Source organism: Homo sapiens, chromosome 3, assembly GCF_000001405.40.
Source record: "Homo sapiens chromosome 3, GRCh38.p14 Primary Assembly".
NCBI classification, from domain to species: domain Eukaryota; kingdom Metazoa; phylum Chordata; class Mammalia; order Primates; family Hominidae; genus Homo; species Homo sapiens.
This window is the reverse complement of record NC_000003.12, coordinates 111322382-111338663: the sequence shown is the minus strand read 5'-3', so window position 1 is coordinate 111338663 and position 16282 is coordinate 111322382.

The window sequence follows — 16282 nt, the reverse complement described above, 5'->3', positions numbered from 1 at the left end:
TATAAGAACCGGAAACCAAGACTGTTGGGATCCATTTTCGCTAATGCATTAGGTAAGTCAGACATGCATTTCCACCTTGCATTTCCTGGTTAGCTTGCCACCTTTCTTACAAAAGTCTGGTCATGATTTCTTCTGAGAATCAAACTCTCTGGAATCTCAACCTCATGGTCTCTCTCATTTCTCTCAGTAGCTTCCAGGCACCGAAGAATCCTGTTTTGGAGCTTCCAACCTAGGTGTCCCTCTTAGTGGGAAGAACTATTTGATATCTTCCCTTGATGACTCACAGGACTCACTGTTCATATAGAGTTCCCAGGAATTCAATATTGCTCATGGAGGGAGTTCAGATATACATATTCTCTTGCAAAATTATCAGTCCCTTCTAAGGCCTCAAACAGAAGCACTAGGTGGCGCTCTGGATTGGCCCTTTAAAATACAAGGCAGGCAAGGAATATTGCCTCCAGGGAGAAGCAGATAACATGAAGGGAAAGTACAGACTGGAGGGCAAGGAAGAATGAGAGAAAGTAGTTTAAAGAAAGAGACAAAAACAGAGCCAAAAGGCATCCTCAGGTTAGGGTGATCCTAAGTCAGAGGAGATTCAGAGCTGAAATGGTAATAAAACCCAAAAGTCATGAGAGAGAGAGAAACGTTACTTCATAAGTCTCTTCATTGAGTGTGGATCTTTGAATGTGTGAATAGTTCACACATTCAACCAGCCTGATTATCCTGTGTAGGAGGAATAAATAATTATTTAAGAGAATATCTACAAATGAACCTGTTAACACCACACAGATACTAGCCAATTATTAACCGGTTGTTTGAATTGAAATACATTTTTATTTATCTTCAGTTCAGTTTGATTTGTGTATATCTACTCTTATGGGTACTGAAAAACAAATCATAGAGTTTTTGCTATGGGGTGGGGGGCATTTTTTGTTTTGTTTTGTCTTTTGTTTTGTTTTGTTTGAGACCGAGTCTCGCTCTGTCGCCCAGGCTGGAGTGCAGTGGCACGATCTCGGCTCACTGCAAGCTCCACCTCCCGGGTTCACGCCATTCTCCTGCCTCAGCCTCCCGAGTAGCTGGGACTACAGGCGCCCGCCACCGCGCCCAGCTAATTGTTTTTGTATTTTTAGTAGAGACGGGGTTTCACCGTGTTAGCCAGGATGGTCTCAATCTCCTGACCTCATTTTGTTTGTTTTCTTGAAAAAGATTTACTGCTTAAACTGTGAAAAACAATAGCCTTACTTTCAACATGCCTCCCTCTTTTGTCTTCCTCTTTCCTCCCCAGGATCTGTTTTTTGCCACCTCCTCCATCCCACCCTTTCTGTTCCCCTTCTCCTTCCCTTGATGCCCAAGTTCCTACAATATCTGGTGACTTCTGCCCCCTCCTCTCTTCCAGCCACATTCCCTGTTTTGTAAGTCCTTGAAATAAATGGCATTTCTTCGTTAGGGGTTGGACCTTACTTAGGTCCTTGTTGGAAATACTTTATTCTACCCATGGCTAGGAGCCTCCATGAAATCAGGCAAATGCCCATTCAGCTATGTCAGCTGAATATTGTCTTAGACTTAGCATGTTGATAAAAAATGAGATTTTTTTTGTAATTTAAAATTGGAGTTGTTATGAGAAAACAACTCTGCAAAACCATGTTTAAAGATTTTCCTATAGTGTTGCCTGCTTAACGGGTATTCAGAGAGAAAAGGCCAGCAGCCAAGGGGTTTCTGAAAGGAGCTGAAAGCTGCTGATCCAGTTCAAAAGGGACAGAGAGGATTTTTAAAACAAATTTTATGCAAAATAAAAACCATCCCAGTGAGAACCTTAAAAAGAGGGACTCTAACTGACTTTTCATAAGGCAGCCAGGTACTCTCCACTCTTCGGTGGTGAGCTTACTGTGTGACAATCCTTTTTTACTGTGGTTTTGACTCACAGGGGAGACAGTCAGAAATAAAGAAGGGAAGAGCCAGTATTTTGATGTCTGTCTGCAAAAGGATGTGGAACTGCCTCATTCTGATAAGGAAACTGCTAAATGAAGACAGCTGCAGGCTCTTTTAAACTCAAAGATACGTGTAGCCTGGAAAGGACTGAAGCAAGACAGCTAGTTGGAAAAAGCAGTGCAAATGAAGGCAATGCATTCTCCACCCCTCCCTGTTCAGATTTTCTGTTTGCCCAGAGTTTCTGAGGCTAATAAAAGTTGAAAATCACTTTGCACCTCAAATTAGATAACAAGTGACATAAACATTAATTTCATGGACTCTGTATATAAGTACCAGGAACTCTTCACAGAACATTTGTTAACTAAATTTTTATTATTTATGTAATTCATAATTATTCTAAAATAGCAAAATTTAACGTGATCATGTGTATCTATCTATATTCCCAGTTGGAACTGACAAAGATTTAAATGTAGCCAATTATCAGAATCACTAGGAAATTTTAGTAGAAATTTCTAGGCTTACTTCCAGAAATTCTTCTGCAGTAGGTCACAGATCTCTGTGTTTTTGAAAATCTAAGCTATTGACTTTCATACAAATCAGGTTTGGTATTCTCTGAATATCACTACTAGCATTCCAAGTTACCAGAATTGCAAATATAGTTTAAAACAGAGCTTCTATAATTAATATGCACATTATTCATCCAGGAATATTGTTAAAATGTAGATTCTGGTTAGTATCTCTGGGATTGAGAATAGATTCTGCATTTCTAACAAATTTCCAAAGGATGCTGACATTGTTAGTTTTTACACTTTGAGAGTAGCTACACAGTAGACTAAGCCCGCAAAATCTCAGAGACTGAACACACTGAATGCTTGCTTCTCACTCATGGAAAGCCTGGTGTGGATTGGTTGCTTCTTCTGCACCTCATAGCTATGACATTTGAAACCTTTGGCCTCCAAAGTTACCAGAATAGGAGATGAAAGGGATGGAGGTTGGTACTGTGGCTCTTAAGTGCCTCAATCTAGAAACAATGCATGACATTTACCAGTACTAGGCATGTGGCCCTAAATTAACTGCAAAGGAGGCTGAGTAATATAGAGAAGCTCATGTAAATTTGGTGTTAGTGGCGTCTGCCACAGGGATCTACTGTTGGACCTAAATAGTTAAAATTTTAAAATATCTAATGGATAAATGCTTGGTTTTATCTTTGTTTGCTAATTGTGTTTTAGTCTAAACTACACCATGCCACCAGAATAAAATCCCTTCCTCTTTGATTCACTTGGCTGCATAGAGTCATTATTTTGTCGACTATATGAACCCCAGGAAGCATGATAATATGATCCATTATTATATTCTATATAAAGTTATATTATGTTGAATTATAACATTTGCATTCAATAACATATTTGTATTTGGAATAAAAATACTAAAAGCAGGAAATTCCCAATAAGTGTATCATGGAAATAATGGTGGGCTTGCAAATCCAGAGAGCAGGTAAGCAGAATCATCAAATATAACACAATTCACTTCAAGTCCTCTGTTCAGACTGGATCCCTTCACTTAGTTGCATACTCACCTCCTTCCATCCTCTTTGATAACCAACATTCAGAACACCCTTTCTAGCTTTCCTGGCTTAGGTAAGTAACTTAGCTTTGTTGAGTCTCAGTGTCTTCATGGGTAAAATGGGAATTTAGAAACTATGCCTCATAAGATTGTCATAGTGACAGAATAGTCAATAAATATTCCCCTCTTAGAAACAGATTCTAAACAAAATGGAAAAACTTAAAGTAGGAGAAAGGGTAGATGCGAATACATTTAGGGAACTGCTCTGAATTTCATTATGCCTTGGTTTCATGAATCAATGTTTATAAGTATAAATATTATACATGGAGGAAATGTTGAGACAATTGTCAGATCATCTAGGTGAGACCCATGGAGACAAGGAGATCCTCACTGGTGACTGGAAGATCAGTGTTAATAAAATAGAAATCTCTCAGTGCCCCTTCAGTACTATGATTCTATAATAATAACATTATTTCAATCACATGATTCCCACTTTTTTCCTACAAAGATTGATGTTTTTACATAAGCTTAGTGACTCCCCTTGTTTTGTTCCCCAAAGCTTGTATAATGTCTTTGCAGAAAGTTTTTTACTATATATTTAATTATTACATAATGTTATTTTGATGAACATTCTGATTTCTAGATGACAGAGATTTTTAATGTTTGAAAGCTTATAGAATACTTTGTTAATTAAAAAAACTATAAGCCCCTCTTTCTTAGAAAAATTCACATTATCTGTACACATAAATTGGTATATATAATCTCAAGAGGTTCACAGACCTCCAATTCCTTATATGAATTCTCTGCCCTGTAGTGACAACTTGGTCAGCTTTTTAAAATTTACCAATAAATGCTATTAATATGCAGGAAATACAAGTGTTTCTGACAGAATGAAGCAAGTAATCCCACAAACATTCATGGGATGACCAGAAAGCCTAGGAAAATCCCAAGATAATAGGATACCTTTTACATTTTCCCCAAATTTCTTGCCCCTGCTGCACTTTTTCTAAAACGGAGATTTTCTCTTTCCATCACATCTTCTGTGAAGCCTTCCTTGATGCTACCAAATAAAATTAATCTTTTCTCCATTATATATCACCTATCAGGGAGTCAGCATGTGGAGGCAACGGTTTATACATCTCTACATCTTCAGCGTCTGATCCAGAAAATGGTAGATAGTGAGCATTGAGTATTTATTTAACTCTGCTGAATGGCAGGCCACATTGATCTTATTGAAAATTTTTTTTGTGTGTAGCCCATCAGAGGCAGAATAAGCAGAACATTCCTGACAGACTACATCACCAGCCCCTCCTTTGCCAGATCATGCCTAGCTCAGCATGGAACAACTATTAGTCAAATTAAATTAAATTTCATTTAATATGCTTGTCTCATTTCTTCTGACAAAGAAGTTAATTATACAATAATCTAAAACAAAAGACACGTTCTTTAAATTTATATGAAAATTGGAGCGAGCAGAAAGAAGTGAGCAGCATCATACAGAGAGTCCATTCCAGTTATACAATTGAGACTCTATGACTGAGGTTTTCCATTTATCTCAAAAGCTTGCAATAAAGTTTCATTTTGGCGTGGAAGTGTCACTATTGGTCTCTGGAGGAGAACAATCAGGAATCAGAAGAATAAACAGATTGTTAGATTTTGAGGCACATTATCAGAAAAATACAAAGCATCCAGTTAAATTTGCATTTCAGGTAAAACAACAAATAACTTTTTAGTATAAATATGTCCCAAATATTACATAGAATATATTTATCCAAAAACCTTTGTTAATTCACCTGAAATTAAGATTTAATAGACATCCTCTCTTTTTATTTGCATAATCTAGCAACCCTAATTTGAGGGCCAAATCCTCACAACCAAAAAAAAGAAAAAAAAAAAAAAAGCTCTGCAGTATCACCATTCTCATCCCCTCCCTGAGAATCCTTTTTGAACAACTTTCATTTGCGTTTTCATTTACCATGTTCCAAAGACATTGCTTTCACCTCTAAGTAGCTAGTTTTTCCTGATGGCAGCCTGTAAGCCTGTAACTTCCCATATCGTTTACATCTGTGGTAATTGCATTTCTAAGAAACATAAGATTCTCAGCAATTCTGTTTTCCACTTTTTCCCCAATGGGTGGTTTACAAGGAAGAGGGGCTAGTGCCGAATATTCTTGGCTGTCGCTCCTGAGCTCTCCTCCTTGCTGGTATGTGTTGTGTGAGGATGCCAGCTGTCACCCTGTGGTTGTCTGGTGGGGCTATCCCTTTGGGGAAGAGCAGACAGTCCCCCCTCAAAGAGGGGAAAGGCCCCCAGAGGTCAGCAAAGGCCAACACCTGTTGGGTTTTGAGAGTGTTCCAAAGTGAATTCAAAAGGCCTTGCCTTGCTATTTATATTGGGAAAGGACAAAAGGGACTTAAAATCTTGAGACAGCTGATCAAGACACAGCACACTTACATATTGGCGAAAGAGAACAGATGTGGCTTCTGATGAACTATGTATAGGATCAACCTGGGAGTTCCCCTCAATCATTTTGATGGATATAGAGCATCAGCACATGTGTCAACTCTCCATGGGTCACTGCATGGATTTCTCTGTTTGTTTTTTGTTTTGTTTTGTTTTTGGTTTCCATATGAACCAAATATCCTGGGTTTATTTTGCCCCAGTATATTGAACAACATGACATTTTAGTGGTATTCCATTCTAAGTTTGAATCTTGCTAAACTATCCATCACTTTCTTTGACAGTGTTGGTGGTCTTAGTGGTATTTTGAGAAAATAAGCAAAGGTCAAAAAGCATATGAGGCTCTGTGACCAAAATTATAACATTTTAGTAAAATATTTACTAAACTGTTTATTTTTTTTTTTTGAATGTCTGCTTATCTGTCCCAAATGTGCCTAATACCACATTAAGACCAGTGTATTTAGTGGAATGCCTAGGGGAAGTTTTAAGCTTGGAAAATAACTAGGACCTTCTAGTTCTTGATAATCATCAGGACCTAAAATAAGGGTCACATTTACTTCAAAGAAGTACTAGTGCAGTAAGATCAAAGGTTCATCTTGCGCCAGCCTTCACGGCAAGCTGAATTGTACTAATGGCCTTACAACATATGGAAGAGCAATCTGTATCATTCTACTGAAAAAGGATGCACATCACAGCTCTTTGTAAATGGATTTTCAAGCTTATTCCTAGTATTCCCTGGCATAGATCTGATATTGTTACATGCCTTTGCACCATGTTATTACTGCTTGGAAACCACCATAAATGTTTTCCTCAACTTTTTCACTTGACAAACTCTGACTTTTTTTGAAGACACAACTCAAATATCACATCTATTCAGTATTCCCATGGCCCTTGGGTCTACCCTGTAGGAGCCCTGACCCCACGATAGGGTGGGATTCAGAGAATGGAATTAGTTAAGGTAGCCTAACCCAGTATGAGTGGGTAGAAAATTAAAATGATTGAAAGAGTAATCTAAGGTTGGGATTGGGGAGATAACTCATTACCAGGTAAAATGGCAAATAAGAATGGAGTAAGTTTTAAGATCATTAGCTGAGAATGATTTTTTTATTTCTGAAGTTGTAAATCACTGTTGAAATATCCTTTATATATGTAGTGTATGGTGTAGAGCCAATGCGAGATGGCAAAGTCCACCCTGACTGATCACAATTTGTTATTGCTTCACATATTGATTTTTGCCTTTCATCTTAGTTGTCACCTCTAGATCCAGAGTCCTTGTTTTTCTATATTATCACAATCTCTACCATAATGCAAGGCATGTAGTAGGTGTTCAGTGAGTGTTGCTGATTGACTCATTGCCTATAGATTTGTAACTTCTTCAAGGGGGCAGTGTAAGTTAGTGACTTGTCTCTTAGGCATAGTTTTTACCTTTACAGTGGTGATGACTAGTTCACAAGGATTCTATGTCCTTGGAAATGTTGGACAATGACACTTTATAGACTGTCAAATATGCTTTATTATCAAAGACAGTGGAATCGAACTCACTTCTTTACCTCATCTTAGACCTATGTACATAAAAAGCCAACTCCAAGAAGGTATGGAACACAAATTACATGCAACTGTGGTTCCTGCTTCAACATTTGTAATGGGATAAAACAAGGTTTATTTGAAGATCAAAGGGATTGCTGTAGGGATATGTTAGGGGCTAAGGAGTATGTTAGGGACTAAGACAAGAAAAGTTGAAAACAAAAAGAACAAATTCTATAGCTTTTCCCTGCTGGGGAAAAGAAGAGAATAAGTTATGGGCTACAAAAAGTTATGATCTTGTACTGCCTCCACAACCCATCCTGTCTTCCTCCCATGGATCTACTTTAATTTACCACCCATTTTCCAAAGGCCAAAGACAGGAAAATCCCAATTTCAGTGGAATCAAGATTGTTCTTGATTTTCTGTGCCTTAGGACCTTGCTACTCAAAGTGTATTCCTAAGGTCAACAACATTAGTATCGCATAGGAGCTTGTTAGAGTTGCAAAATCTCAGGGCCTAGCCCAGACTTACTAAAGGAGAATCTGTATTTTAACACGATCCCTGGGAAATTTATATGCACTCATGATAACATGGGAAGCTATGACCTAGGATAAGCAATACACAGAGTGTCATCCTTCAAGAGAATTCACCCTAAGACATTTTAAAATCACTCCAGAGAATAATTGCCCATTCACTCTTGTTTCCACATGAGACCTGGCTTGAACCTTCTATCATCATGCTCATCCCAACAAAGCTTACCCAGCCTTTGCACAGTTCCTGTAGTCACTGAGATGATCAGCTACCTATTCACTTTTCCATTCCTCATTTACAATATGAGCTCTACAGACAATCTTGGTCAGCAAGAATGGCCAGCTGACTCACTGACCGGTATCTAAGTTATTATTACATGCCACCTTGTAGGCTTTCTCCTTTGGTGGCAGACATTAGGATTTTCTCAGTTGCAGGTGAAGAAGGAATATTTGGATTTTCTCTATCAACATTATTAATTTTTTTGATTCTATATCAACATTATTAACATTTCCCCCATATACTTTTATTTGGATATTAAAAAAATAAGGGTATAACTTTCAATCTGACCTACTCTGACTGGTACCTGGACAATAAATGACTCTTTTAAGGGAGAGCTCTCCACCCTGCTGCATTCTTCTCTGTGCCCCTAGGAGGCTGACTTCTAGAGGCTGTATTAGCTAGGTTGGGGTGCCCTTGGCCTTCTAGGTGGATTTGGCCAGTGGAAGGCATGAGGATACTAAAGGATGAGAAGAAGAAGAAGTCTGGGTGTTTTTCTGCCTTCCACTTCCCTTCAGATCTCCTTGCCATTTAGGCCTACTGGTGGTAAGAGCTTCTTGCTGATATTAATAAGTGTTTTATCATCTATTATAGGTAAGCTTGATCCTGCCCATATCTTTTAACATAATGTCTTTAATAAAGTCTCTTTAATTCCCTCTTTGAGTACTCAGTCCCATCTGTGTCCTGCCAAGACCCTGACTGATTTAGTCACATTGTTTTCTTTGCTCTCAGCTTAGTCTTAAATATGCACAATGTAGCACACTTGCAGGTTCCTGTTACTTTTAATTAGATCATTGTTCACTTGACACCTCTCTAGCCTGCTTGCAAGTGACCTCTCTTGGTGCTCTAAGTCAATGCTTCTCTAATTTTAATGACTTGCATACACATCACCTGAGCGATCTTGTTACAATCCAGATTCTGACTCAGAGGTCACGAGTGGGGCCCGAACTCTTTGACTTCTAATAAATTCTTGGGTACTGAAGGTTTTTGGGCCCACAGACCACACTTTGAGGCTTCAATTCAAACATTGAAGACCAAGAGGGATGAAGGAGAGCAATGGTTCTCCAAGCATACTTAGTTCTTAACCAGCAGCATCAGCACCACCTGAGGACAAGACTGTTACAAATGCAAATTCTGGGTCCCTAACCCAGACCTACTTAATCAGAAGTTCTGGGGTGGGGATCAGCAATCTATGTTTTAGCAAGCCCTCCCAGTGATTCTGATTCACAGCTAAGTTTGAGAATCACTGAAATAGAAGATAGTGCACTTGTAATAGCTATTTTTGAGTTAAAATTACTTGAGTGACTTCACATAAAACAAGGCATGGATTCCTCAGAATAAATCTATTCAATATAGAGAAGCAATATAATGCAGGAAATTGACATTAGCCACATTGACAGAATTTTAAATTTCTGCTATTGTCATACACAATATCATGAAGGAAAAGAAAGTTACCAATAAATGTGTTTTGAAGATAGCACATTTCCTCAAGATTCAGTTCATTTTAATCATACTTATAACACTCAGATCTATGGTAGGTACTGCAAGAGATACAAATCTCTAGTCAGTCTTTGTCTTATGGAATTTACAATCTCAAGGAGGGAAAAAAACAAGCATTGGCTGGGACTACTGCAAGGCTTCTTTCTAGGATTCAAATTATGAAATCAGAGAATAAGGAATGATCAGAAGTCTGTAAAACGGCAGCATGGAGATAGAATATTTCCTGGACTAGAAGCAAGATGGACAAGAATCAGGTGATCCTTGGATAAAGGAGAGCCACAGAGATAAACACTATTGAATTCTGTTGTCTGGTTTAGCCCTACTGTGAAGCTGCTTTTGACTAGAGTATCTTTTGTACCAAGCTTTTGAATCACAGCATCGCTCTGATTACATGCCTACCAAGCAAATTTCTGGCTTTTGCTATTGCATTTGTTGTATAGCCAGAGAACGACCATCCACTAGTATGACCAGTTTACTAGACAGTTGATCTCATTCTAAATTAACATAATTTCATTCTTGGCTCATGTTCATACTTTTGTGCATTTAAGAATTGTGAGCTAGATGTGATTGACGTGGAACACTGACAAGATAGAATTTTTGAATAGTGAGGCTAGAATTACGGGTTGGACCACAGCAGTTTCTCTACTATAATGCTACCTATATAGTTTCTTTATGGATAACCAACCAGTCTCTAGTGGTAATATCCATCTCAATATACATCCCATTTAAACCTTTGAAAGTCACACAAATATGAGAAGGCCATGGCAGTTGCATAAAAGTGGTCTGCCTAAGATAAATATTCAAAGGAAGAGTCAAACAGATCAGATTGGGAGATATGCTCAGGAAGATCAGTAAAACTTAGAGAATGGGTAGACTTTTTTTAATTGAAAAAGAATTCAAATAGCATAAAATCTACCTTTTTTTAGTGTATGATTTAGTGGTTTTTTTTTTTTTTTTTTAAGACAGAGTCTTGCTCTGTCACCCAGGCTGAAGTGCAGTGGCACAATCTCAGCTCACTGCAAGCTCTGCCTCCCGAGTTCACGCCATTCTCCTGCCTCAGCCTCCCAAGTAGCTGGGACTACAGGTGCCCACCACCATGGCTGTTTAATTTTTTTTGTTTGTTTGTTATTTTTTAGTAGAGACAGGGTTTCACCATGTTAGCCAGGATGGTCTCGATCTTCTGACCTTGTGATCTGCCCATCTTGGCCTACCAAAGTGTTGGGATTACAGGCGTGAGCCACTGCACCCGGCCTATTTAGTGGTTTTTAATACATTCACGAAGTTCTGCAACCATCACCACTATATAATTCCAAATATTTAGACTCCCAAATTGATTTGTATTTTCAATGCAATGCCAAGACCATTGAATAGATAAAGAATAGTCCTTTCAACAAATAGTGTTAGAACAATTAGATAGCCACATGCAAAAGAGTAAAGTTATATTTTTAACCTCATACAATATGCAAAAATAACTGAAAATGGATTAAAGATCTTGATGCAAGAGCTAAAACTACAAAACTCTAAGAAAACATAGCAGTAAATCTTTATGACCTCATATTTGGCAACAGATTCTTTTATGTGGCACAAAAAGCACACGACAAAAGAAAAAATAGATAAATTAGACTTCATCAAAATTAAAAACTTTTGTGCTTCAAAAGACACAAAATCACAAAAATAAAAATACAAAAAATATAAAATAAATGAATAAAATAAATAAATAGTAATAAAATAAATAAATAATATATAAATATAAATATAAAAAATAAAAAGACAATTCACGAGGTGGAAGAAAATACTTGCAAATCATATATCTGAGAAAGAGACTTGTATCCAGAATATATAAAGAATATATAAAGAGCTGTTACAACTCAATAATAAAATGAGAACTTGATTTAGAAACCTACAAATGATGTGAATAGACACATCTCTAGAAAAGATATATAAATAGCCAATAGTGCATGAAAAAAAAATGCTCACATTATTAGTCATTAGGAAAATGCCAGTAAAAACCACAACGAGATACCACTTCACAGCCACTAGGATGGCTATAATCAAAATGACAGACAATAATAGTTGTTGGTGAAGATTTAGAGAAATTGAAACCCGCCTACCTTGCTGTTGGGGTTGTGAAATGGTGCAGATACTTTGGAAAACAATCTGGCAATTCCTCAAAAAGTTAAACAGAATTACCATATGGGTCAGCAATTTCATTCCAAGACAATTGAAAACATATGTTCACAAAAAAATACACAAATGTTCATAGCAGCATTATTCATAACAGACAAAAGATGTAACAACCCAAATATCTATCAACTAATTAAAAAACAAAATGTGGTATAGTCATACAATGGAATGTTACTCAGCCATGAAAAGCAATGTAATATTGATACATGCCATAACATGTATGAACCTTAAAATATTATACTAAGGGAAAAAATGCCAGTCACAAAGGACCATGTAGTACATGATTTTATTTGCATAAAATGTCCAGAATAGGACAATTTAGAGACACAGGAAGTGGATTAGTGGTTGCTTAGGGCTGCGGGGGAGGGAGATGGAGATACTAGTAGATTAGTTGTTGCTTAGGCCTGTGGGGAAGAGGGGATGGAGATACTAGGGGGTAATACCTAAAGGTTAACGGGTTTCTTTCTGAGGTGATGAAAAATGTTCTAAAATTGTTTGTGGTGATGATTGCTTGACTCTGAATATACTTAAAACCCTTAAATTGTATATTTTCAACAGGTGAATTTTACGGTATGTGATATATATCTCAATAAAGCTGTGGTTTTTTTTATTTAAAAAAAAAAGTCAAAAAGAAATGATGGAGAGAAAACAAGTCCTTGGTATTGTTTGAATTATTGGACCATGCCTTGCCTAAAGTCATTTCTGCCTCAACACTCTCAGTTACATGAACCAGATAAATATCTCCATTGTTTAAATCAATTTGAGTTGAGATTTGGATTACTTGCAACATACTTGGATTCATAACGAACATATACTGTGGCAATGACTTATCAGGAAAAATTGAGTTAAGAAAGCAGGTTGAGAGCAGGGAAACGAAATAAAGGCTATGACAATAATTGAGAGAATGACAGGCAGTGAAAAGGAGTTGGCAATGTGGATGCTGAATCTAGAAGATTGGAAGAGGGAAAATTGAAAATGTCTGAAGAGACAAATCTTAGGAATTGGAGATCTCTGCTGAACTCTGAGCCCTGGCTGGTAAGGACAGTGTTTAATTCATCATTGCTGCATTACACAGTTTAGCTGCTGTAATAATTCCGAAGCACCATTTGCTTTCAACTATCATTTATTTCTTGCTCATATGATATGTAGACTGTGAGTCAGCTGCAGCTCTGCTTCAGGCTGCAGCTCTCTTGCCTATGGCCTCTCGTTCCAGAAGCCAGGAAGAAGGGGCAAGCCCTCTCTGGGAATACTGCTCTCAGGCAAGGGAAGGCAGGGCCAGAGCATTGGCCAAACTTGCAATGCTTTTTGAAAGCCTTTGCTCACTCATGGTGTATATCACAGCCCATATTCCTTTGCCCAAAATATGTCACATGGCCAACCAAACCCAAAGTCAATGAAGCAGAAAAGTATTACTTTCCACACGGAAAACACCATAAATCACACAGCAATGAGCGGGGATATAGTACCTTCTCCAGGAGAAGGAAGAAGTGAGTAATTGTTAACAATAACTCAATTTCTCAAAATTGCTTTTCCTTACCTATCATTCTACCTGGTATATTGTAGATAGCAAACACTTATTTATCATTTGAACAAATTAGGATATAAATGAACAACTATATGCATTGATAAATGGAGAAAGAACCTTTTGTGGAGATGCAAAAAGAAGAGGAAAAGATGAGTTTATGTTGATTTTGAAGAACTAAGGAAGGTAAGGATAGAGATTATTCAGCTAATAATTATAAAGTTGCAGAAAGAGAGTAAGAGTGAAAGTTAAGAGTGAAAGAGACACCGATGGGAGACAGATGCTGTGAAGTAGGTGAGATCACCAAGGAAGACTGTGTACAGTGAGAGCAGAAATGGGTTGTTAGAGCTGGAAGAGAAATAGATGCCATGAAACATCAGTCAGGATGTGGTCAGAGGCCAGAACAATGCAATGTCAAGGGTTTTGAAAAGAAAAGGTGGTCAATAGTGTCCAAGGTATGTTAATAACCATTAAATGATAGAGTTCTGTCACCTTTTTTTTTTCTACAGAGGTCCATTTCACACAGGAAAATAAGTTAACCGAAGGCTATATGTTAGCAAAAACCTAATTAAATTTTGTGAAGGGTGAAGAAAAGATATTTTGAAGGAGAAAAAAAGATTCAAATCACCTGATTTAAAAATTATGCCCAAGCAGCAAACAAAAATTAATATATATAGCAAACATGTAACAATAAACTTCAATTCCCTATTATAGCCAGATAAGAGAGAAGTAGCAAAGGGAATGAACGAGAATAATAAAGGAAGAGAGGAGGAAATGGAAAAAAAAGGAGGCTAGAACAAAATGAAACTAAAAACAAGGAAGCAGTCTCAGCCTAGTGGTTCTCAACACTGGCTACACGTTAGAATCACCTGGGGAGATTTTAAAAAATACTAATACTTGGGCTCAACCCTGAGAGATTCTCAACTAATAGGCCTAGAATAAGACCTGATATTGGTATTTTTAAAAAGTCCCAGGTGGTCTTAGAGGTACAGAGGAGAAATGGAGTGGCATGTGGAGTGAGGTAAATTACTTTTGTCCCATCTCGTAGTTTACTTGGACTATAGGCTCTAAGAAATCTTCAAGATGAAAATTAGCTATCATGACAGGCACAGTTCAGCTGCATTTTACTCTTAAGACAGTGAGAGTGATGAAATAAATGGGAGCTCAGGAGGTAAATAAATTCCTGAAGACCTGGCTATAATTCTAACTGTTAGGCCTTAATATCTCTTGGCATCTTAAATCTCATAGCATATCTGGGTCTGTTTCCACACCTGCAAAATGGAAACGTATAGGCAAGATGATTTCTAAGGCCATTATCACAGTTTTGATTTGAAGAGTCTTAGAAGGGAAGAGGGTAGGATGGCCAGTCAAAATCAGCTCTCTCCTGGCCTGTACTGAATGATCTATTGCACTTAAATGTACACTTAGTACATATTTTAAGGAAAAGCAAAAATGTGGTTGGGTGGAGCTAGAAAGTCAAAAAAGCAGGAAAGAAAAGGCTCTTTTAATTTCAGCATACATGAAAGTTTCGTGTTTGGGTTTTTTAAAAAATAAATATTGCTGAGTGGCACTATGTGTTTATGCTTTGGGCCTTTATTATTAATAAAACGGCACTGCTTTTCCCATTATCTACAAATGATCTGAAGTACCTTGAGGGTCAGAAAAACTTTAGCCAAGCAAGACAGTAAGGCTTATGTGGAAAATGGATGAGAACTATTTGCCTATTGGAAAGAAAAGAGGGTTGTAAGAGAGCTTCAGATTCTAAACTCTATTTTCAATTTTAGCTTCAGACAGGGAGGGAGAGGCAAGAAAGGAAACATAAAGGCAGAATTAGGGCAAGGACTGCACACCCCTACCAGCCCCAGCCCCATTACAACACTGCTTTGTACAGATGGCAGTTGCCACTTGGTCCTGGCTTTGCAGCTTCTAGGTCACCCTCTGTGCCAAGGAGAAGCAAAGCTCATGGCTTCTTTGCACCAGAGGCTGGAGGTTGCACTGACTCTTTATTGAAGTTGGTCTAACTTGCCCCACTGCAGATGTTCAAGCCCCAGAGGGCTCTGGGAGAATCAAGCCTTTTCGTTGCATTGCTTAGACCCATGCGTCTCCCTGTGTGAGCACAGTTCAGAAGCTACCTGGCGCACTTTTAAAGTGAAGAGGAGCCATACATTATGGGAATGTTTATATTAATGGATTTGATTTATCGCCAACTTCCTTTCAAAATGACCCAATTTATAGTAGCACCCTATATCAAGAAATAAATACAAATGAAAGAAGATCTAGTTAAAATATCACATTTTCTTGCTCTTCCGGGTAGGATTAGTTGTTCCTTATCTGTGCTCCTCAGTTATTATAACAATAGCTACCTTTCATCAGATGTGAGAAACATCAGCGGGCTAAGTGTTTTACATACACTTAATGCTCACAAAGCCCAAGGCTGTAAGAATTATTATTTCTCCACGTTCAGATACAAAAACTCAGCCTGAACGAGGTCAATCCATGTGATCAAGATTGCTCAGCTAATAAATGGCAGAACCAAAATATAAACACAGAATGATTAACTCTGGAATTTCAACTACTGCTAAATACTGCCTCTATCAAGCACATCTTCTTTAAAATAGCATAAATTTCTGATTATAAAAGTCATGCATGACCATCATAGGTAATTTGCTTAAATCAAGAAAAATTTTAAAAGTACTCATTCTTCATAACCTTCTCTACCAGTCACACTAGACCTTGGTTAATATTTTTATGTTTTGTGGCATTTTAAAAACTTTTATAAAAAATGTTTTACTGGAT